Source organism: Homo sapiens, chromosome 6 (genome assembly GCF_000001405.40).
Source record: "Homo sapiens chromosome 6, GRCh38.p14 Primary Assembly".
In the NCBI taxonomy this organism is placed as follows: domain Eukaryota; kingdom Metazoa; phylum Chordata; class Mammalia; order Primates; family Hominidae; genus Homo; species Homo sapiens.
In genome coordinates, this window is record NC_000006.12 from 70,544,694 (window position 1) to 70,568,533 (window position 23,840).

Here is a 23,840-nt window from a genome sequence, read left to right on the forward strand (position 1 = left end):
TTGTGCCACTACACTCCAGCGGGGGATAGAGCCAGACTTTGTCTCAAAAACTTAAAAAAAAATAAAGCCCACTAGCGCTAGGCACAGTGGCTCACGCCTGTAATCCCCGTACTTTGGGAGGCTGAGGCAGGTGGATCACCTGAGGAAAGGAGTTCGAGACCAGCCTGGCCAACATGGTGAAACCCCATCTCTACTAAAAATATAAAAATTAGCCAGGCGTGGTGGCGGGTGCCTATAATCCTAGCTACTAGGGAGGCTGAGGCAGGAGAATCATTTGAACCCAGGAGGCGTAGGATGCAGTGAGCCAAGATCGCACCATTGCACTCCAGCCTGGGCAACAAGACTGAAACTCTGTCTCAAAAAAAAAACAAACAAAAACAAACAAACAAAAAAAACCACGAGTATTATAGATTACAGAAATTGACTTTTACACAAACAATATATATCTATCTTAGGAAAATTTTTTTAACAGAACTTTTATCTAAATGCTGATATTACTAGCTATAAAAATTATTTGAATGACTTAAAATTGTTTTTATGTTTTAAGATTTCTCTTTGTACTCACGAGTTTATTAGTATATACCTGAATTGAATTAATATCCATTCTGGGAAAAAACACTAAAGAGTACTATTTTCTGGCTGGGCACGGTGGCTCATGCATGTAATCCCAGCACTTTGAGAGGCCAAGGTGAGTGGATCACCTGAGGTCAGGAGCTTGAGACCAGTCTGGCCAACATGGTGAAACCCTGTCTCTACTAAAAATACAAAAAAATTAGTCCAGTGTGGTGGCGCACACCTGTAATCCCAGCTACTCAGAAGGCTGAGGCAGGAGAATTGCTTGAACCCAGGAGTTGGAGGCCTGCAGTGAGCCGGGATCCTGCCACTATACTCCAGCCTGGGCAACAGAGCAAGACTCCATCTCAAAAAGAAAAAGAGTACCATTTTCTAGTAATTGTGACTAATGCATTGGTTAATACTAAAATACTGGAAAAATAATAATAGCTAATACACATGTAACATTTACCACGTTCTAGGTGTGATTTAAACACATACATATTAGCTTATTTAACCCTCTAGGGTAGGAATATTGTCCCCACTTTGCAGATGAGGACACTGAAGCACAGAGAGATTGAATGACTTGCCTGAGGTCACTTAGCTTTATGAAAAGCCAGTAAGCATTCGTGCATGGTTCACACTGCATCATGTTAAGCCAATAATATACATTTTCAGGAACTTAAAAAGCTACTTCTAATAGCACTTTTAAATATCAACAAGTATTTCAATTGATTTTAAAATTACGTTGTAGAGATTGAAACAAGTCTCTCGAACTATTTCATGTGGGGTGTTGGGTTTTGGGGTTTTTTTTTCGGGGGGGCATATCTAGTGAATTGTGAGAAATGAGTAGTCCATCCCTAGAAAGTTGCTATGCCTGTATATTTACATATAATTACTTTATTCACAAAATAGAATATATAGGTTCACAGCAAACAAATAAGTTAAATAAAACAGGAAAACATAGAACAAAGAAAAAGAGTACTTAACCAATATGCTATTCTCAAGTGTTTTAAAACAATCAAAAGTGATCATTTCTTTTTTATATTTTATTATTCTAAAGCTACAGTCTTGGATGCCCTGGTTTGATTATTGCTTCAGTTTCTTCTGAACAGCGAATTTTCCGTTCTTTTGGAAAAGCCTAAAATTACTTGTCTAAATCAAAATCCAGCCATTTGCCCTTTTGCCTTTTTTATTTAAGCAAAGCCTCTTCTGTGGGTCTTCCTTTTGAAACAGTCTTTTTCTATGCAACATATCATTAGTTAATAGCTTTCCTTTTATTGAAAGCTGTTCATTATTTTAAAATGAAGAAAGCTTTTTAAAAGCCTAAAATAATTTGTGTGTTTTGTAAAACAATTGAGAAATACTGTATTTTTTATAAAAATCATAAATGTATTGGGTGAGAAATTACCTTTTTTGTGAACACAATAGATCTGGTAAAGGGTTACAGAAATGTTACTTTTAAAGGGAAATTATCTATTTTGATTAAGGAATTACAATTATAAACATTCATTAAATTTTTATAGCAACTTTTGACAAAACCTGTGGTATTCTACAGATTGCTAACAGAATATGTAAATAATTTGCAGGTGGCATACAAGCATCTCAGCATTGGATAGCAGGGAAAAGAAAGATGAAGGAGCTAGAGCAATGTGGAAAGTAAAATAAATGTATAATATATAGACATTAGATGACAGCAGTGTTGAAGTAGTCAAGATTATATTACTAAAGCAGAGAGAGGAATCATGGCCACTCTGACATTCCATAATGAGGGCTCAAAATAGCCAAAAAAGAGTCTATTCATTGTTGGAATTTCAAAAACAATATATCCTTATTTTAAGATCTTCCTAAAAATACCTGCTTAGAGTCTTTTTACCAGCTGTTGAATTCTGACAAATAAAGTATAGAAATTAAATAAAGGTCCTGCTGTCCTACTGTGGCACAAAGGACTCTTTGTATCCAGGAGGTTACAAAGGGATTTAATCTTAGGTATCACTTTTGATATGTAAATAATATGTATATTTTGTTTCTGAAAGTGCGGGAAAGAACCAGCATCAGCTAACATTATTTTAGGAAGAAAATTCATTCAAATTTATTTAAAATGAGTAAAAATAAGAATAGTTTAATATTGTTAAGAATATGTTTTAAAAGTACAGAGTTTTCTTAGCTTCAGCACTATTGATATTCTGGGCTGGAGAATTCTTTGTTTTCAGGGGTTGTCTTGAACATTGTAGCATGTTTAGCAGTATCTCTGGCCTCTGCCCACTAGATGCCAGTAGCACATACACTTTTCCACCTTCAGCAGTGATGACCAAAAATATCTTCAGATGCTGCAGAATATTCCTTGGAGCAGAAAATCACCAGTTTAGAACCACTGCTTTAGCCAGTTCCAGAAAGTAAACACAAAATGACTCAAAGTGAATTGCATTAAAACTCTGAAGTTTTAGAACAAATGAGTAGCCAGAAGAATTGGAAAGACTTTAGACTATGAAGATGAAAGTTTCAATTAAGGTGTTCATATATCAATCATGTTATTATATAGTCCAGAGCAATATGGAAGATTTAATCTTTTTCTTGGTAAAAAGTAACAACATACTTACAGATTTTTCTGGTTAAACCATGTCATCCTATAAATAGGGAAATCTTGTCACTTTCCCAAATTAAAGGTAACCGTTCAACAAATAATTAGCCACTTGAGGGGCTCAGTGAAGTATTCACCCACGGACTAGTTAACTACGTTGTCTTTGAGAAGCTAGAATCAAGGTAGGTGTAGAAAAGATAAACCTAGAATATTAGCTCCCAAAATAGACTTCAGACATTTTTGTTGGCTGTACTTCAACTCAGATGAAGTACTGCTGTAATTCCTACCAGCACTGCTCCTCTGGAGCTTGCTGTGCTTCACTTTGAGTTTCTGCCTTCTGTAGCCAACACTGGTAGACAAGAAATTGAAGCCAAAAGGTTCAAAAAGGGCCATAATATATTTAACTAACTTGGTTCTTGGCTAATATAAAAAGCAAACCTTCTGTGCAAAAGCACAATATCAGTATTAATACACTTTTTTTAAATAACTAGAAAACTGGTTACCAAGTTTAAAATGCATTTTTAAAGTACAGTACTGTCGTAAGAATCACATTTAGAAGTGTAACAACATAGTGTATTTAATCAGTATCAGAATTTTTAAATTTATTTTATCATCATGGAATCTGAGAGTGAAAGGGTATCTTTGAAATCCTCTGACTAATCTTTACTGATTTTGCCTGCTTCCACTGAGCTGCGTGAACATGAGGAGCCATAGACACCCTGCAGGGATCTCAGTCTAAAGCAGTAATTCCAAACCTTAGTGTTGTTTCTCTAGAGAAGTACATCAGAATCTCTGTAAAGAGCTATTTTGAAAAATGTCTTTAATATAATTTTATGAAGAAATATATAATGCCTTTTATTCTTACAAATATAGAAATCTTTTAAAAATCTTAATCAGTGGGAAATTTGTGAGGAAGTTTTAATGATCATGTAATCTGGCAAATACATAATTCATTCACAGACCACACATCTGGAGGTGACAGGTAATATTGTTTATGCCTGAGTGGTATAATGTGTACTGCTGTTCCTAATACATAACAACCCAAAAGAAAAAAATGGACAAAAGAGAAAAGAGGCAGTTAGCTACCAAAAAATAAAATTAAAAATTAAAAAATATATATATATGGAAGGCCAATAAACAATAAGTTAATCATTTTTGCCATTAGGTTGGTAAAATTTAAAAGATGCTATACAGTATTGATGAGTGTGTGAAACAGAAACCTTCATATATTAGTGGTGGAAGGAGAAATTTTATTATCTTTTTGGAGAGTACATTTATCAGAATTTTAAGAACATACTCAACAATTCCACTTTTGGAATTTTTCCTACAGAAATCTCACACAATGAGGTAAAGGCTATTCATTACAGTGTTATACTTTTTTTATGTCCTCTCCCTTCTGAAGTGGAATCGACATAAATGTCCTTTGCTAGGGAAATAGGAGACATACTAAAAGTTAATCCTGGTAATTCCATGTAGTAGTTAAAAGAATGAGATAAATTTATTTATACAAACATGAAAAGCTGTCCCCAAAATATTAAGTGAAAAAAGACATAAAATAGTATAAATACTATAATCTCAGTTATATTTTTAAAATGAAAAATAAATTGTGTGTATACCAAGAAAGGAATTTGGGACAAAATACAGACATGCCTTGGAGATACTGTGGATGTGGTTCCAGATCACCATAAAAAAAGGTGAGTCACATGAATTTTTTTGGTTTCCCAGGGCATATAAAAGTTATATTTACACTATACTATAGTCAAGAGTGTGTAATAGCATTATATCTAAAAAAAAGTATGCATACTTTAATTTTAAAATACTTTATTGTTAAAAATGCTAATGATTATCTGAGCCTTCAGTTAATCATAATGTTTTTGCCAATCAGGGTGGTGGTTGCTGAAGATAGAGGTGGCTATGGCAATTTCTTAAATTACAACAACGAGGTTTGCTGTATTATTGACTCTTCCTTTCACAAAAGATATCTCTGTAGCATATGATGCTGTTTGATAGTATTTTACCTGTAGTAGAACTTCTTTCAAAATTAGAATCAATCCTCTCAAACCCTGCCACTGCTTTTTCAACTCTTTATGTAATATTCCAAGTCTTTTGTTGTCATTTCAGCAATGTTCACAGCATCTTTACCAGGCATAGATTCCATCTCAAGAAACCACTTTCTCTGTTCATCTATAAGAAGCAACTCTTCATCTATTCAAGTTTGATCATGAGATTGCAGCCATTCAGTCACATCTTCAGGCTCCACTTCTAATTGTAGTTCTCTTGCTATTTCCACCACATCTGCAGTTACTTTCTTCACTGAAGTCTTGACCCCCTCAAAGTTATCCATGAAGGTTGGAATCAGCCTCTTCCAAACTTCTGTTCTTGTAGATATTTGACCTCCTCCCATGAATCATGAATGTTCTTAATGGCATCTGTAATGGTGAATTTTTTCCAAAAGCTTTTCATTTTACTTTGCTCAGATCCATCAAAGGAATCACTACCTATGGCAGCTATCACCTTACAAAATGTATTTCTTAAGTAATAAGACTTGAAAGTCAAAATAACTAATGGATCACTTGGGCTGCAGAATAGATTTTGTGTTAGCCCACATGGAAACATCATTAATCTCCTTGTATATCTCCATGAGAGGTCTTGGTTGAGTAGGGGGATTGTTAATGAGCAGTAATATTTTGAAAGGAATCTTTTTTTCTGAGTTATAGGTCTCAACTGTGGGCTTAAAATATTCAGTAACCCATGCTGTAAACAGATGTGCTGTAATCCAGGCTTTGTTGTTCCATTAATAGAGCACAGAGTAGATTTCATATAATTCTTAAGGGCTCCAGGATTTTAGGAATGATAAGTATTGATTTCAAGGCCCCAGCTGCATTAATCCGTAACAAGAGAGTCAGCTTGCCCTTTGAAGCTTTGAAGCCAGGCATTGATTCCTTTCTATCTATGAAGTCATGGATGGCATCTTCTTTCAATAGAAGGCAATTTTTTCAACATTGAAAATCTGCTTTTTAGTGTAGTCTTGTCATATACCTTAGCTAGATCTTCCAGATAACTTGCCATAGCTTCTCCATCAGCACTTGCTGCCTCACCTTCCACTTTTATGTTATGGAGACAACATCTTTCCTTAAACTTCTGCTGGCTTCCAGCTGTTCTGTGCAGCTTCTTCACTTCTCTCAGCCTTGAGATAATTGAAAAGAGTTAGGGTCCTGCTCTGGATTAAGCTTTGGCTAAGGGAATGTTGCAGCAGGTTTGATCTTTCATCCACGCCATCCAAACCTTCTCCGCATCAGCAATAAAACTGTTTTGGTGTCTCATCATTTGTGTTTTCACTAGAGTAGCCCTTTTAATTTCCTTCAAGAACTTTTCCTTTGCATTCACATCTTGACTAACTCTTTGGCACAAGAAGCCTGCTTTTCAGCGTGTCTTGGCTTTTGATATGCCTTCCTCACTAAGCTTAATCATTTCTAGCTTTTGATTTAAAGTAAGAAACAGAGCCAGGCATGGTGGCTCACGCCTGTAATTCCAGAACTTTGCAAGGCCGAGGCTGGGAATCTCCGAATCCTAGGAGTTTGAGATCAGCCTGGGCAACACAATGAGCACCTATTTCTACAAAAAATAACAAAAAAAATACCCAATGTGCTGTCGCATACCTGTTGTTTCAGCTACTTGGGAGGTTGAAGTGGGAGGATCCCTTGAGCCCAGGAGGTAGAGGCCGCAATGAGTCATGATTGCACCACTGCACTGTAGCCTGGGTCAGAGTGAGACCCTGTCTCAAAAAATAAAAATAATTAATGTGAGAGACGTGACTTTTCCTTTTGCTTGAGCATTTAGATGCCATTGTGGGGTTATTGATCAGTCCACTTCCCATATAATTGTGTCTCAGGGATTAGAGAGGCCCAAGGAGAGAGGGAGAGAGACTGGAAATGGCCAGTTGGTGGAGCAGTCAGAGCATAGTCCATAAGTTCACTGTCTTACATAGGCATGGTTCATGGCATTGCAAAACAATTCCAATAGTAACATCAAAGATCACTGATCACAGATCACCATAACAGATATAAAAATAATGAAAAAGTTTGAATATTGTAAGAATTACCAAAATGTGACACAGAGACACAAAGTGAATATGTACTATTGGAAAAATGGTGCCAATGGACTTGCTCAATGCAGGGTTACCACCTTCAATTTGTAAAAAACATAATATCTGCAGAGCACAGTAAAGCAAAGTATAGTTAAACAAGGTATACCTGTATAAAACTGATTGCTTTAAAAATATTGAATTTGAAAAAGTTAAACCTTTTAAGTGTACAATCTTCTGGAGTTGTAAACAATACTAACAAACATCTGGCAAAATGTTATATTACTATGAATTTTCAGAAAGAACAGACATCAGTGACATTAATTTATACATAATGTATCTTATATAAGTAATCCAAATACAATTGAGCCTGGTTTCTGCTTTATATAAACCCTTTATATAAACCCTTTATATAAACCTCAGTTAAGAAAAATGCAAAAAAATGAGGCATGCCTGTACACAACTGTTAGCTGTGTCCTTAGTGAATGGCAGCAGGAGCGGCGGGGCGAGGGGGAAGGCAAGAGGAGGTAGTAAAGGGGGAATAGTTGAAGATTCTTTTTTTTTTTTTTTTTTTTTGAGACGGAGGCTTGCTCTGTTGCTCAGGCTGGAGTACAGTGGCGTGATCTTGGCTCACTGCAACCTCCGCCTTCTGGGTTCAAGCGATTTTCCTGCCTCAGCCTACCAAGTAACTGGGATTACAGGTGCCTGCCACCGTGCCCAGCTAATTTTTTGTATCTTTGGTAGAGACGGGGTTTCACCATATTGGCCAGGCTGGTCTCAAATTCCTGACCTTGTGATCCACCCAGCTCGGCCTCCCAAAGTGCTAGGATTACAGGCACGAGCCACTGCGCCCAGCCAAACTGCTTCAGTTCTAAAAATAAAAAAGGGTAGGGAGAGAGAGAGGGAACACAGTTATATGTCACCTATCCAGAACCCTTGAGAAATACGCATTTCAGGAGCCACTTACAGAATTATTAAAAATCAAATCTGTTGTTAGCCAGCATATTTGAGAGCCTACTGTTTGTTCAGCACTAAGCACTAACATATTTTTAATTTTTTTTAACTTGGAGAGAAATTAGTAAAATATTTTACATCTTTTTTTCAATATAGAGCACTAAAAATAGTTTAACCCAGCCTCCTCTTCCAACCTTTTTCACATCAGGCATCAATAGCAAATGATTATATTTTTAAAGCACAATTGGGGAAGCCATTATTAGATAAACCAGTGAACCAACCATGTTGCTCCCCCCAGCAGAGGAGACCAGCCTGGGGACTTCAGCCATGCCCAGTCATCTGAGAAAGCTAACCAGATCAGTTTCTGGACCCACCTATAACTGCACACCATAGAAGTTCTCCTTTAACCTGTTGATTTGTTTACATTCATTAACAATAGTTCCATACTACGCTGAAATAAAATGGTATTCTCAGAGATACAGCATTTTAACCCTAAACTAATCAGTCTCCTGATCCCTAGTCCAATGTGTCCTTTATTCTCAACTAGACTGCCTCAACTTGATAAGTTCCTAGTTCCCACCAAAAGTTAGGGCCAGATTTTGATGTTACAGACTACTTAGCTAAATTGAGTGGACCTTAATATGTGGGAGCCAATATTGATATTTTTTGAGGGAAGACACATACTTTCTAATATAAAAATTTAATCTGATACTTTAAACAGGGACAGATCAAAGATATGGTCACTTTTTTATCCCTCCCAGACATGTTGCATAACTTAATTTTTATAATGGATGTGAAATTTTCTAAACGTTACAATGAAATCTTTTTTTTAAAAAGAAGCAGATATAAATTTAAAATTCTTCCAAACAATTAAAAATAAAATTTAATTTGAAAGAAACATATAAAATAAAACTCTCAGGAAAGAAATTTATAATGGAAGTCATGAGACCAGCAAGTAGAGAATAGCAGTGATACTGGTAAGAGGAGAAAGCAACATGTACTACATATGAAGCAAGCCAAACTTGATGTTGTAGTATATATGAGGGAATTAATAATTAAAGGTGGCCAATATTTCTCATTGGACTAGAATAATAATAGGCTTATAGAATAAAGAATTTAAGAAAGATAGCAAGCAAAATTTTGGAAATAGAATTTGGTGTTAGGCATAGTGCGTATTAAAGTGACACAAAGCTTTGTGTCAAGGTATCTGGCAAGAAAAGCAGGCCAGAAATTTAGATTTGAGGAGCAGATACAAAAATGATAATTAGAGAGATGAGTAAAGAATAAAATGTCATATATGCCTGAAAACAAAGTAAGTTTTGTTTTCTCTCCTAAAATTACCCATCAGAAAAGAGAGTGCTGCCTTATATTGAAATCACTAACACAAGATGATTTCTCAGTTACTTTATTTGGACTTACTTGGAGAAGATATACTGGCCTGAAATAACCATTGTATTTCGGATGTAAATTCAGGCTACCAGGTAGAATTAAAATTTGGTCAAATAAGATGAGGCCTGAGAATTGATCCTTAAATTTTTAGCATTGTCTAGGTCATTGGTGATCTTGAAAGAGCAATTTACATGGAGTAATTAGGAAGAAAGACTTCTGGGAATAGGTTCAGTAAAGAACAGGAGGAAAGGAAGAGAAGGGAGACACGTAGAAAACTCATGAAGAATTTTGCTACAACACTGTGCCAAGAAATGGGTAACAGCAGAGGAGTATAAGGTCCAGGTACAGGTTCATTTATTTGGTTTTGGGGGGTTTTTTTGGTTTTTGTTTTTTGAGACGGAGTCTCTTTTGTCGCCCAGGCTGGAGTGCAGTGGCACAATATCAGCTCACTGCAACCTCCGCCTCCTGGGTTCAAGCGATTCTCCTGCCTCAGCCTCCTGAGTAGTTAGGATTATAGGTGGCTGCCACCATGCCTAGCTAATTTTTGTATTTTTGGTAGAGATGGGTTTCGCCATGTTGGCCAGGCTGGTCTCGAACTCCTGACCTCAGGTGATCCACCCTCGGCCTCCCAAAGTGCTGGGATTATAGGAGTGAGCCACCATACCCAGCCATTAATTATATTTTCATAAAATATAACATCTCAACTCATTCTATTGGAATTACAGATTTAGCTCATTCAATTTATAGGAAATGTGTGCCATAAAATCCAATTGGCAAAGCCATTTCTCACTGTCATAAACAGTCAAGTCAAATTGACTTTTTGTCAGAAAAAGTTAGACTTTATATTTTGCTTGGTTTTCCAGAGACTTTTATACCCTAGGGCCATATACCTTAATAAGATCTGAAGTAGATTGGAGAGATAATATCTTTCTCTTGTAAAGTGGGAAAAAGTCAAGTCACTTTTAGAAAAAAAACACATCTGGAGGTTGGGATCTGGAAATCAATTTTCTTTTTTTCTTTTTTATTTTTAGAGACAAGCTCTTGCTCTGTCACCTGGGCTGGAGTGCAGTGCTACAGCCATGGCTCACTGCAGCCTGCACCTCCTGGGCTCAAGGGGTCCTCCCACCTCAGCCTCCTGAGTGAGACTACAGTTATGCAGCACCACACCTGGCTAATTTTCGTAGAGACAGGATCTCACTTCGTTGCCCAGGCTGGTCTCAAACTCTTGGGCTCAGGCAATTTTCCCCCCTCGACCTCCCAAAGTTCTGAGATTACAGGCATGAGCCACCTCGCCCAGCCTGGAAATCAGTTTTCTTAAAGCTATACACACCTATCTACACCATAGAGAGTCTTAGATGACTCCAGGGGTAAATGTATGAATACCTGTGCTCTAGGACACATAGATGATTCCCAAAGTAGTACTGATAATGATGAAGATATTAGTGTTAAATTGTGTCACGAGATGTGAGAATGAAGGGGGGGGAGTCATTTTTTCTTAATATTTTATACAATATTATTTTAAATATATGTTCAATTAACTTCTATAATAGATACTTGATTATTTCATTTATCTCCTTAGGATTGTATACATTCAAAATGTCACCTCCCCCAAAAAAGTGGTATAATCTAAGGATGGCCTTATTTTTGGCATAGATAGTATCATACGGTCACACTTGGCTGTGTGTGAATCCATACTCATCTCATGATTAAGATCCTTAGGCCAGGCATGGTGGTTCATTCCTGTAATCCCAGCATTTTGAGAGGTGGGCAGATCACTTTGAGGCCAGGAGTTCAAGACCAGCCTGGCCAATATGGTGAAACCCCATCTCTACTGAAAATGCAAAAATTAGCCAGGTGTGGTGGCCCACACCTGTAATTCCAGCTACTCAGGAGGCTGAGGCACGAGAATCACTTGAACCCAGGAGGCAGAGGTTGCAGTGAGCCGAGATTGCACCACTGCACTCCAGCCTGGGCAACAAAGTGAGACTCTATCTCAAAAAATAATAATAATAATTTAAAAAAAGAAAATATAAATCATATTAAGCAAGTGTTAAAAATGAAAAGAAAGTAAAAAGCTTTAAATGATGTACTGTGAGGTGTTTTGTTTGTTTTAATGGAAGAGTATAATTTTGTTTCTTTGGAAATAGTCCTAAATATTGATGAATACCTTTTGGAAGGTAAGAATGTCATGGAATACTTTCTATAGAACATTAGTCCACATATTCTGTTCCCGCCTATCTCCACACCACTGAGCAACAGTGCCTGCTCCCAGTGCAAACACACATTCTTATATCAGCATCAAGACTACATAACAGTGAGGTGGGTTTTTTTGTAGAGAACATACAGAAATTTGGAGAAAGGATCATCAAGTATTGACAAAGTCAGAAACTTAGTACTGCTAAGGAAATTTATTTTTTGGTCACTTAATATGATACTAATAACTTGTTTAAAATCTAGTTAACTACTGCATTATAATTTATTATATTCTATTCACAGGGCTTCATTATTTCAAAAATGTTGTGCTAGTGGGATCCCTACAGGATCGCTATGTTCCTTATCACTCTGCCCGCATTGAAATGTGTAAAACAGCTTTAAAGGACAAACAGTCAGGTAATGGAATAAAATTATTTCAAAGAGTTATAGGTATTAATGAGCTCTTTCCAAAATTTTTCTTGTAGTCACTTTCTCTCGTATCTGTCACCCTTCTCTTTCCTGTTACTTCCTTTCCACCCACTTATATTAACAGCTGTCCTTTTTCCATTCTTCTCACCTGCCACGTGAACTGCCTTTACCAATGAAGTAATACTTTCATCTAATTACAAATGCCTCTCCATTTTGCTGCCTCAGAAGTAGTTCATACTTTGATTTCCTCTGAATTAATGGGATTGACAATTGTAGTCATCCTTGTCATATGTTCTGCTGTACCTCGCTTTTACGCAAAGGTGGCAGCAAGGATTTGCCCCTCTTTACTGATAGTAAATGATAAAGACTTTATTTGTTCTTTTGCTATTTGTGAATAACAAAATAAATTTAAAGTATAGCCATTTGGAGCCAGAAGGAAACTTGAGTCCTGTTTACTCATTTTATAACTAAAGCCCAGAGATACTAAGTGGCTTAGCCCGAATCAGTTAATTACAGACTTAGGTCAAGAACCTGGTCTCCGGGCGTGGTGGCTCCTGCCTGTAATCCCAGTACTTTGGGAGGCCAAGGCAGGTAGATCACCTGAGGTCAGGAGTTCGAGACCAGCCTGGCCAACATGGTGAAACCCCGTCTCTACTAAAAATACAAAAATTAGCCGGGCGTGATGGCGGGTACCTGTAATCCCAGCTACTTGGGAGGCTGAGGCACGAGAATAGCTTGAACCCGGGAGGGAAAGGTTGCAGTGAGCCAAGATCATGCTGTTGCACTGCAGCCTGAGAGACAAGAACGAAACTCTGTCTCAAAAAAAAAAAAAAAAAAAAAAAACCCTGGTCTCCTACCTCTCAATATTGCCTCAGATCCGTTTTTGGAATGAGGCTGATTTTAAACTCTTAATCCTTTATTTTTCTACATTGTGACGGTGAACAGCTCCTTAAGGCAAGAACTGTCTTAAGCACATTTTTATTGACAGTGCCTAACATGCTGCCTGCTACATGGTAAGTACTCCTTTATTGTACATTTGTGACATCAAAATAACCTTTTCTTAACTTCTGTTCTAGCAAAGGCTAGAGTCCACCTAAGGAAAAAATTCAGAAGAGTCTTAACCTTCAGATGAGTAGCTGAAACTAGATAAATGTCCCTTATTTTAATAGTGAGGTTCTGTGACATTGGGGAACAAGGGGAATCAAATGATGAAGACATGTTTAGACTTCTTCCTGTATTAACATATTTTTAAAATAGCATGGAACCACAAATCCAACCTGACTCAAAATGAAAACTAAGAGGAGAGGTGGGAGTAAAAAGTTTTTTGATGAGTATGTATTAAGTCAGTCTTTCTCTTAAACACCTCTCTTTTCTATATCTGATTGTACTTCTGTGTACTTTTCCCTTCTTGTCATTCCTCAGGCAGCATCCTACCTGTCTTCTGAAATTTAATATTTACCTCTCTAAAGCTCACACGTTCCATGGACACTGTTAGTACTCATTTATTAGTATATAGTAATGCATAAGCATTGTAAACAATGTTTTGCCCCTTAGAAGGCAGTTTATACATTTATGTGGATGTATTCTAATCGTTATCTTTTATGTGCTTAGTATGACCTCAGTAAATCCATTGTAAGAATTAGCTAAACATTGTTTGGGCGCAGTGGCTCATGCCTGTAATCCCAGCACTTTGGGAGGCTGAGGCAGGAGGATCACCTGAGTCCAGGACTCTGAGACTAGCTTGGGCAACATAGCAAGACCCCATTCTACCAAAAATAAAAAATTAGCTAGGCTAATTAAAATGGTGGTGCACGCCTGTGTGGTCCCAGCTACTTGGGAGGGTTAAGATGGAAGGATTGCTTGAGCCTGTGATGTGGAGGCTGCAGTGAGTTGTGATCATGCCGCTGCATTCCAGCCTGGGTAACAGAGTGACACCCTGTCTCCAAAAACAAAAAAAGAAAACAAAAATAAGGAGAGAGGAACACAAGTACTAAATAAACCTATAGACCAAACAGAAGATCATGTTACTTGAGCCAAGCTCACGTTGTTCATCTGACTATAGGAGGTTGCTGTTCTTTCTTAAAATAATTTGGAAATTTTGACTGCCACAGAAACATCTTTAAAGTATTTGCTGTAGGCCAAGTTTATAATTTTGCCTTATCAAAATGTCTCACCATGTCTAGCTTATTTTCATAATTGTTTAATGAGTTATAAGTGACTTAACATTAAAGAAAACTATTTCTTTGTTATAGGCATTGCTTTGAGTTAAAAATACCAAATTTCGGCTGGGCGCAGGGGCTCACGCCTGTAATCCCAGCACTTTGGGAGGCTGAGGCGGGAGGATCGCCTGAGGTCAGGAGTTCGAGACCAGCCTGGCCAACATGGTGAAACCCCAACTCTATTAAAAATACAAAAATTAACTGGGTGTGGTGGTGCATGCCTGTAATCCCAGCTACTCAGGAGGCGGAGACAGGAGAATGGCTTGAACCCGGGAGGCAGAGGTTGCAGTGAGCCAAGACCACACCATTGCACTCCAGCCTGGGCAACAAGAGTGAAACTCCATCTCAAAAATAAAAAAAAAAAAAAATCAAATTTCAAGAATAATGTATAATAAATTTGTTATTTCCACTTGACTAGATAATGTGATTACTTACATTTTCTATAAACAGAACCAAAAATGATAGTTGAAGGAAAATTAAACCTTTTTAAAAAGAGCCATTTTTCTGCTTTATATGGAAATAATGTAACTAAATTTTATAACTTATCTAAAAATTGGCATAGTTTTTTTATTTTCAGTTACTATTGTGAACTAATTTTCCTTTTTTCTGTTGGTTCCATAGGACAGATCTATTCAGAAATGATCCACAACTTGCTTCGACCCGTTCTGCAAAGCAAGGACTGTAATTTGGTTCGCTATAATGTCATCAATGCATTGCCCAATACAGCTGATTCACTCATTGGGAGAGCTGCACATATAGCTGTTCTTGATTCGGAAATATTTTTAGAGAAATTCTTTCTGGTTGCTGCCCTCAAATATTTCCAATAGTATAAAAGCATTGTTAGCGACTGGACAATTACCTCATTCAACAATGTTTCAAATAATGTATTATATTAAAATGTAGATGCTGATAAGTTCTAAGAAATATTTATACCTTTTTATATGGAAGATAATTTATATCATCCATGTTTAGTGCTTTTTAAACATCAACTTTACTTTCTAGGTAATGTGGCTGTGCAATATTTTTTTAATTTTATCTTTTTACTTTTCTATTACTTTTTCATATATTTTGCTACCTAAGTATTTCAGTGAAACTTTAAGCCCATACCTGTGTCTGATTGTTTATTATTGGCTTTCCACAATTCTTACATCAGACTACATTATATTAGAGACCATTATTGCTAGAATAGCATGGGATTTAAAATTTTCTAATACTGGGGGTATTATTTAGTTAATTATAAATTTTTCTTTTCACATTTTACTGTGTTTTAACTGGAAATAAAATTATGGCTGCTACAATATATTTTTTGAAATCAACTTCTGTAGTTCTAAAATACAACTTTATCATACAATCAAACCAGGTAGTTCATATAAAACAGTGTAATACAAGTTTTCTATAAAGTCATTACTGTTGCTTAAACATATTTCATGCCTATTAAAATATATTTTCTACTGGTGATTTCAACATTATTTCTCATACTGACTTTTATTACTGGAAATGTTCCTGTACATGTTGGCAGCAGATAAAGATTTTTGAATGTTTGAATGCCCTCTGCCTTGATTTGGTTGGAATTTTTGCTAAATTGGTAATGTTGCTTGAACTTTATGACTACATTTTCTTTTAACTTTTTTCATGGACTTCCTTATATGTACATAATAATTAAATGTTGAAATTTATGAAATACTTTTATGAATTTAGATAATTTTTAAATATTGTTAAAATTTATTGAACTAAAAAGTAATGTAAATAAAATAATTCATGTTAAAGATGGAACAAAATAATTAACTTTACATGTTTGGTGATACAGATGCAAATGTTTTTGATATATGGAGATGTTGAGTCTTTTGACTTTACTAAAGGTGCTGAATAGCATTAAATTCACTATTTTCCTTTTCTGTTTTACTTGTGAAAATAAAAATGCACTAAGGTTGGGTAGAAGTTCTGTTTGCACTCACTAATTGTGACAGACAGAGGTTTTTGTAAGTATTTATTGTACAATTGATGCATGTTTATTTTTAGCGTTGTTATTGCCTCTGGTGTTAATAAATGAACAAATGGCTATCTGGAGGAACAGCTACAACCCTTGTAATCCTTTGCTTATTCTCTGAATACTAGAGGTATATATATTTTATTTATAACATAGACCAGCCTAATTATATAACTTGTAGCCTTTGTATTTTTATATCTTTTGTATATATTATTATAGTTAAAATAATTTTGATTGCTATTGATAATTATTTACTTTTTAGAAAGTACTCAAAATTTTTATAAACTAATATCCCAAGTGCATTATAACTAGAAAATGTAAATATATTAATTAGCCACCACATATTTTTGCCAAGCACATTTTTTATATTCCTATATCTTGGCTCTGAGTTTGAAATGTGCATATTCAAAGTTTGGATAATTTTCAGGTTTATCAAAGGACTCAATCATATAAATAGTATTTGAGTGGAAATTGCTCTTATCATAGTTGATTGATTAGTTTTTGGTTATTTTAATACAGTTCTAAAAGCACATCTGTGTTCATGGTTTAAAATCTAACAAATTTAACTTACTTGATTTATCTGGGAAACCACCACACACTATTCACCTCCAAATTCAGATTGTGGGAGATGGGGTACAGTTATGGGGGAGAGAGGAAACAATGATCTGAAATGGTATTATTGACTCTTACTTTAGAGAATGAATCTCATTGAAGTATACCAGTAAGAGTTCTTGGTTGCAAACAACAAAAAAAATTATGATCAACCTAAACAGAAAAAGAATTTATTGGAGGAGGATCAGGTAGCTCACAGAATTGATGGAAAGGCTAGAGAGCCAGGTTTGGAAAACAAATAGAAGCCAAAGGAAAGTAGATGACCAAAAGCATAGCCAAGTTCTGATGACCTCAGAGCTAAATGACTGTATTCTTCTCTAGCCAGGATGACCCTGGAAACTGGATTTCAAGTACTTGTTTTATCACTTCAGATTCAAAGCGTAGTAGAATGTCCAACTGACCAAGTTTAAGTCTTGTGCCAGTGCTTGGGCTGTCAGGCATCAAAGACAGCAGATGTATCTGACCTCGTTAGTTTCCACAGTAGAAAATGGGACCCTTTATTCTACCAAGGTTAACCAAACATATGAAATGGGTTTGATGACAGCACCAAATATAAAAACACATCAGGTGTAATATAGTCCATCTTTTTGTCTTCCCAACATCTGCAAGCATAATTCTCTCCATATTTACACATTTAAAATGCATCTTTCTGACATAGTACTACTATCCCTCATCCAGTTTTAAGTCCAGGACCTCAGTGTGATGTTCTCTGATTCTGTAATAATCTCATCTCAATAGTGTGCAACTCATAGACAAAATTGTGACCTAACCACCACCCCTATACATAATAACAGTATAATAGGAAAGAAGCTGGGCGTGGTGGCTTATGACTGTAATCCCAGCACTTTGGGAGGCTGAGGTGAGAGGATCACTTGAGCTAGGAATTCAAGACCAGCCTGGGCAACATAGCAAGACCCCATCTCTAGAAAATAATTTAAGTGAGCCTGGTGGCATGCACCTGTAGTCCCAGCTACTTGGAAGACTGAGGTGGGAGGATCACTTGAGTCCAGGAGTTCAAGGTTGCAGTGAGTTACTGCACTTCAGCCTGGGCGACAGGGAGACCCCCCAACTCAAATATATATATACATATGAAATAAGAGAAAATTTTATAAACATGCATGAGCCAGTGAGGAAGAAAACAAAATAGAGCAGGGCTTTGCAATGTCCGTGCCAAGAATTACCTAGACTACTTTAAAAATACACATTCTAGGACCTTATTACGGACCACCTGAATCAGAATTTTCAGGATAGTGTAAAAGCAGCAGCATGTTTTATGTCCCAAATTTCTCTAATAACACGTCGCAAATACAGTACTTAGTCCTGTCAGTGGTCGTGAATCTAGATGGTTATGACTTCTCACCACTGCCAACTATTTTCTGTTTTCTTTATGTTCAAGCAGCACCTCTGCTGATCAGATTTATGTATCCAGTGGATGACAGAGGATCTGAGGTGTGGGTGGTCTTGCCTATATATGGTTGTAATAGTCTTATATGTAAATGTTACCATTCAGCATGGTATTTTTTAAAATAAAATATAAAAACATGGTATTGTGAGGAGGGATTCCAGGAGACCCCCCTGACTTCTGGTTATACTGTTCTCCCTACTCTCTTTTCTCCATGGTCATCAGGGCCAATCACTCCAGCTAGCACCATCACCACTTTCTCTAACCTTACCTAGAGGAATGAGGTCAAAATGGCTGGGTGGCAATTCCAGCTGGGCACAAAAATTGCTATACCAACAGAACCTGGACTCAGAGATGGCTAGCAAGAGTAGTGAAGGGTCTGAGATTTTATCCTACTTGCAAGGTTACAGGCTAGGTTGCTGCAGTTTCATGGATGATGACAGGATACTCCTGGACAAAAGACAAAACAGCTTTATTACAGCAAAATAGAAGCCAGAGTGTCCGCATATTTGCATCAGTTCCCGTAGCCCAATTCCCACAGTGTGATGCAGAGGGCCGGATGACGTCTGTGCACATGGGGGGTTGCATTACAGAAGAATCCAGGATCAAGAATCAAGCAGTTTTTGAGCAAACAACAAACAAGCTAGTCTCTCTCCCCCAGGGAGCAGCAGTTAAATGGTAGTAATGCTGTGATTGCCTTGACCTACTTAGGTGCCTATATGACTAACTACAGAAACTGCTTAGCATCAGGAGATGGATACGGCTTGCAGTCTGGCACACTCAGTAATAATATACAGGCATGTTCAGGGGCCTTCGGAGCTTGTCTCTTCTCTACTACAATGGAAAGCAAAATATATTTTATATCAGTAAGTCATATGCAATAGTAAGAAGTCAGACCCTTTTCTACTCTTTGATCTCTGTTATTCTGTCAACAGAAGATATATCACCAAATACCGTTGACTCATTTGGAAAATATGACAAATCCTTTAGGGCAGTATCCCAAAGTGTATTTTCTCACCTCGTTCCAAAACAACCTTCAATAAGGCTGTCCGTCATTCCATAAAATCGGTTGCTTTTGGATGATGGAATATATAAGACTGTGAATCCTGCAGGCATTAGTCCCCTGCTTTACATCTTTCACAAGAAAATGAGTTCTTCGGTAAGAAGCAATGTTGTATATGATATTGTATTAAATATGGAGTAGTGTGTTAAGGTATTCAGTAAGTCCACAGGTGAAGTATATAATAAGCATAAATCAGGGAAAACAATCTAAATGCAGAATAATTGTCTCTTCCTGTAAGAACAAATTGCAACCTCCTTCATAACAGTAGGATTTCATTGTAATCAGACCTGCCACCCAGACCACATAAAAGTGTATCATGGGATCAAGTTGGTCACTGCAGTTGGCGAGTAGTGGTAGTAGCCAATCAGTCATGGCAGAAGAAAGACGGTGTTAAAAGTACATGTATGTCTCCATTCTTGCCACCGTGGCTACCTTGTTACTGAGTCCACACCTGTTGTGGGGGAAGGAGGCTGAGTAATTGATGTCCACAGAATGGGTCACTGTTGCAGCCCTTGTGTAATCCCCTTTTGAGAGTGGCCGGGACCTAATAATAGGATACAGTGGAAGTGGTGGGATGTCGCTACCGAAATGAGATTACAGAAGTTCAGGGCTTCCATTTTGAGTGGTCTTTCTTGCTCCTTAGTTCATTTGTCCTGTGGAAAGCCAGCTGCCATGTTGCAAGATAGCCTTTGGAGAAGCCCACTTAACAAATAACTGAGAAGGTTTCCAGTCCAAAGTCCACAAGGAACCAAATCTTGCCAATAATCATGTGAATGAGCTTGGAAGCAGATCTTCCCTTAGTTGTGCATTTATACGAGACTGGGACTTCAGCCAACAGCTTGGCTGCAACCTCATTTAGGACCCAGAACCACAGTCACTCTGGCTTCTAGGTTACTGATCCACAAAAACTGTGAGAGAATAACTGTTTATTGCTTTAAGCCAATAAATTTTGGGATAATTTGTGAGGCAGCAATAGATAACTAATAATCTTGTTCTGATTAAGAGCCCTTCTGCAATGGAAGCTCTTTTTTTTTTTTTTTTTTTTAACGTTCAATAGGACCCAAATGTTTTCATGCTTTGGGACCACTTTGAGAGGTCCTATTCCAAAGACCCAGTCCAAAACTTTTACATTCCCAGTTCCCAGCCACTTGACAAACCAGTCACTGCCTATGAAATGTCGATTTTTATCTCAAGCCATGTCTCTTTTTAGGCAAAGCATACAAGATAAGCTAAATTCTGGCCAGGCACAGTGGCTCACACCTGTAATCCCAGCACTTTGGGAAGCTGAGAGGGGTGGATCCCTTGAGGCCAGGAGTTTGAAACCAGCCTGGTCAACATGGCGAAACCCTGTCTCTACTAAAAATAGAAAAATCAGCCAGGTGTGGTGACATGTGCCTGTAAAAACATAAAATACATAAATAAGCTAAATTATGCATGCTGGAAATAATTTTTTTTCCCTGTTCTGTTCCTTCAGGGCCTCTGTTAAGTGGGGCTCTAAATATGAAAAGCAGTCAGTTGCCAGCTGGGCCAGTTTATTGAGCAAAGCCATCATCCGACTTTGAATTTTTTCCTCAGTCAGCTAGTCACAAGGAATTCATTATTAAACTGTAGATATAAGCTAAAGGTCAAAAGCATGATATTAGGACTGTGAGCTCCCTACAAATGAAAACTGTTTCCGTTTTGACTTTGGCCCAGTTCTGTGTATCCCACTTTCTCTCTTTTTTCTTTTTCTGTTTTTGAGATGGAGTTTTGCTCTGTCTCCAAGGCTGGCGTGCAGTGGCGTGATCTCTGCTCACTGCAATCTCCGCCTCCCGAGTTCAAGCGATTCTTCTACCTCAGCCTCCCAAGTAGCTGGGATTACAGGAATGTGCCACCTCGCCCGGCTAATTTTTGTATTTTTAGTAGAGTGTTGGCCAGGCTGGTCTCGAACTCCTGACCTCAGGTAATCTACCCGCCTCGGCCTCCCAAAGTGTTCGGATTACAGGAGTGAGCCACCTTGCCCGGCCCACTTTCTCTTCGTAAAAGGATCTCCTTATCTAGGAGAACCAGATAATTCTCAGTTCATGATAAGAAGCTTCGATCGTATAACCACTTGATGTCACATGGTCAGACACTACCAAGGCGCAATAGCTAGCCAGAAACTTTTCTTTAAAAGAAAAGACAAAATTCCAGAATTCTGGGGGCCTTCACTATGATTCTGTAAATATTTCCACGAGTTGCACAAAGCATCCAGGTCTGCCACATCCACTCAACGCTATCAGAGCTGGTGGGATGTAAGGGTTAAGGGGCAGAGCTCATTGCACTGGATCCTGGCCTGGATGGAGAGCCTTTTCTTGCTTTGCACCTCATTCAAAAATGTCGCCTTTCATATCATCTGGTTAGTCGGTCAGAATGGACGAACTAGGAGCTGACTGAACAAAGATTTAAAACACAAAACAGGGAGAATTAGGTAAAAGAAGCATTTTACATGAGTGAGAGAGTAAAAGGTGCTCAATCTTTGTAAACTATAAAAGGGATCTTCCACGGGCCATTTCGGCTCAGACTGACAAGCATGAACGGAACGGAATTATTCCCTCTTCTAACTGCAGCCACGATTTGGCGTTTTAACACCGGGCTCAAGGTAGCCTGGGTCTCTCTTGGCCAAAGAGCCCAGGGATGCCTCTAACTCCTTTTCTAAAGCCGGCCACGGAGGCCCCGCCCTCTGCAGGGAGGCTCCGGATCATGCCCCCTGCTCCTCCCACTACTGCTTTGCGCCTGCGCGGAGGCTCGGGGAGTCGGCGCCATGACCCCATCGAGGCTTCCCTGGTTGCTTAGCTGGGTCTCGGCCACGGCGTGGAGAGCGGCAAGTAAGCACCTGGCCTCGGGGCCACGGTCGCGGGAGGGGTCGTGAAGGCCCAGGCGCAGAGAGAAGCGCCTCCCGCGGAGGAAGCCGCGTGTGTCCTGGCCGTTCGGTGTTGCCAGGGGCTGCCCAGCTTCTCCCGCCCAGCCGCCCACCCGGTGGCCTGGGCAGGTTCCTGCAGCGCCCCGGGTCTCGGGTGGGACTAGAGCGAGAAAATCGCTAAGGCCCTTTCAGCCCCCGGGACGTCCGCTTCCTACCGAGCACGCGGTGGCCCAACAGGACCACAAACGTTCCGGGTTGTTCCTGTGGGAGCTCGCAGGGCACACCGCACTTCGATGCCCCAGAGAAAAATGGAAAAGAAGGCCCTTTGGGAATGGGAGTCATTGATTTACTTATTTATTTACATCATTATTTACAGGAATCCGCGCTCCTGGTCCAGGCTCCAGCAGAAAAGGATTTGTGGCAGTTTACAGTTTATCTTTTAAAAATGGGAAAAGTGCAGAAGTGAGCCAAAGGCAAATAAGTATAACGTAAATTAGATGAAGCCAGGAATTGTCAGTACAGAAAAAGCATTCATGCTTTCAGTAAAACCAACATTTTTAAACCCATTGTTGTTGGAAATTTTTCTCAAGATAATACAGTTAGCAGCCCAGACTATGCAAAACATAATTTTATTTATTTATTTATTTATTTGTTTATTTATTTTGAGATGGAGTCTCGCTCTGTCCCTCAGGCTGGAGTGCAGTGGCGCAATCTCGGCTCACTGCAAGCTCTGCCTCCCAGGTTCACGCCATTCTCCTGCCTCAGCCTCCTGAGTAGCTGGGACTACAGGCGCCCGCCACCGTGCCTGACTAATTTTTTGTATTTTTAGTAGAGACGGGGTTTCACCGTGTTAGCCAGGATGGTCTCGATCTCCTGACCTTGTGATCCGCTCGCCTCGGCCTCCCAAAGTGCTGGGATTACAGGCGTGAGCCACCGCGCCCGGTCCGCAAAACATAATTTTAATATATGACACCTGGAGAAGTTATGTAAGTTGAAAACAGTAATTATTGCCCTCAAATGGTGCCAGATTTCTATGCAATTTGTTTTCCTTTGTGCAATCATTTTACCCAAATACAAACATTTTACTTAATTGTATAAGTTTTAAATAGTCCAGAAATGAATAATACAGAAAGTGAAAGTCCTACATTATCCAAACCTCAAGGTAATAACGTTAAAATTTTGTAGGGTTCATTCAACATCCCCCTTTAACTAGTTTTAAACAATTATGAATTATTCCATATATATATATGTATACACACACACACACGTAGCACACATGTAAGCTATGTAGCAGTCATGTAAGCTATGAAGCACAACCAGCATCTATGAACTTATACTCCAATTTAAGAAATAGTCTCTATTGCCAAGGAGGTCTCTATTTGCTGCTTCCTGATACAACTGTGCAATGGTGTTTTTAATCTTTATAGAAATGTTTTCATATTGTTGATTTTTTTTCAGATAACGCTGTGTTTTGTGATTGAGTCACATTGACGC

General features: G+C 38.3%; 2 protein-coding genes across 55 annotated transcripts in view, besides 1 other annotated feature; both read left to right on the forward strand.

Moving 5' to 3' along the window:
• FAM135A (family with sequence similarity 135 member A) overlaps positions 1-16,481 on the forward strand; it is a 147,667-nt gene extending 131,186 nt beyond the window's left edge. For all 53 annotated transcript variants that reach the window (XM_047419158.1, XM_047419165.1, XM_047419169.1 and 50 more), the window contains 2 exons: positions 12,057-12,170; positions 15,023-16,481. In XM_047419158.1, coding sequence (XP_047275114.1) covers positions 12,057-12,170; positions 15,023-15,228 — 320 coding nt within the window. In that variant the 3' untranslated portion in view covers positions 15,229-16,481. The remainder of the gene's footprint in view (positions 1-12,056; positions 12,171-15,022) is intronic.
• The window catches only part of SDHAF4 (succinate dehydrogenase complex assembly factor 4), a 31,499-nt gene continuing 29,895 nt past the window's right edge, over positions 22,237-23,840 (forward strand). For both annotated transcript variants that reach the window (XM_047418210.1, NM_145267.3), the window contains exon 1: positions 22,237-22,311. In XM_047418210.1, the coding sequence (XP_047274166.1) occupies positions 22,248-22,311 (64 nt within the window). In that variant the 5' untranslated portion in view covers positions 22,237-22,247. The remainder of the gene's footprint in view (positions 22,312-23,840) is intronic.
• Positions 22,525-22,584: a silencer, noted in NCBI's record as "silent region_17319". NCBI's record gives its function as "represses an Ori minimal core promoter by ATAC-STARR-seq in GM12878 lymphoblastoid cells {active_cell/tissue: GM12878}" and the evidence as "EXISTENCE:reporter gene assay evidence [ECO:0000049][PMID:35858748]".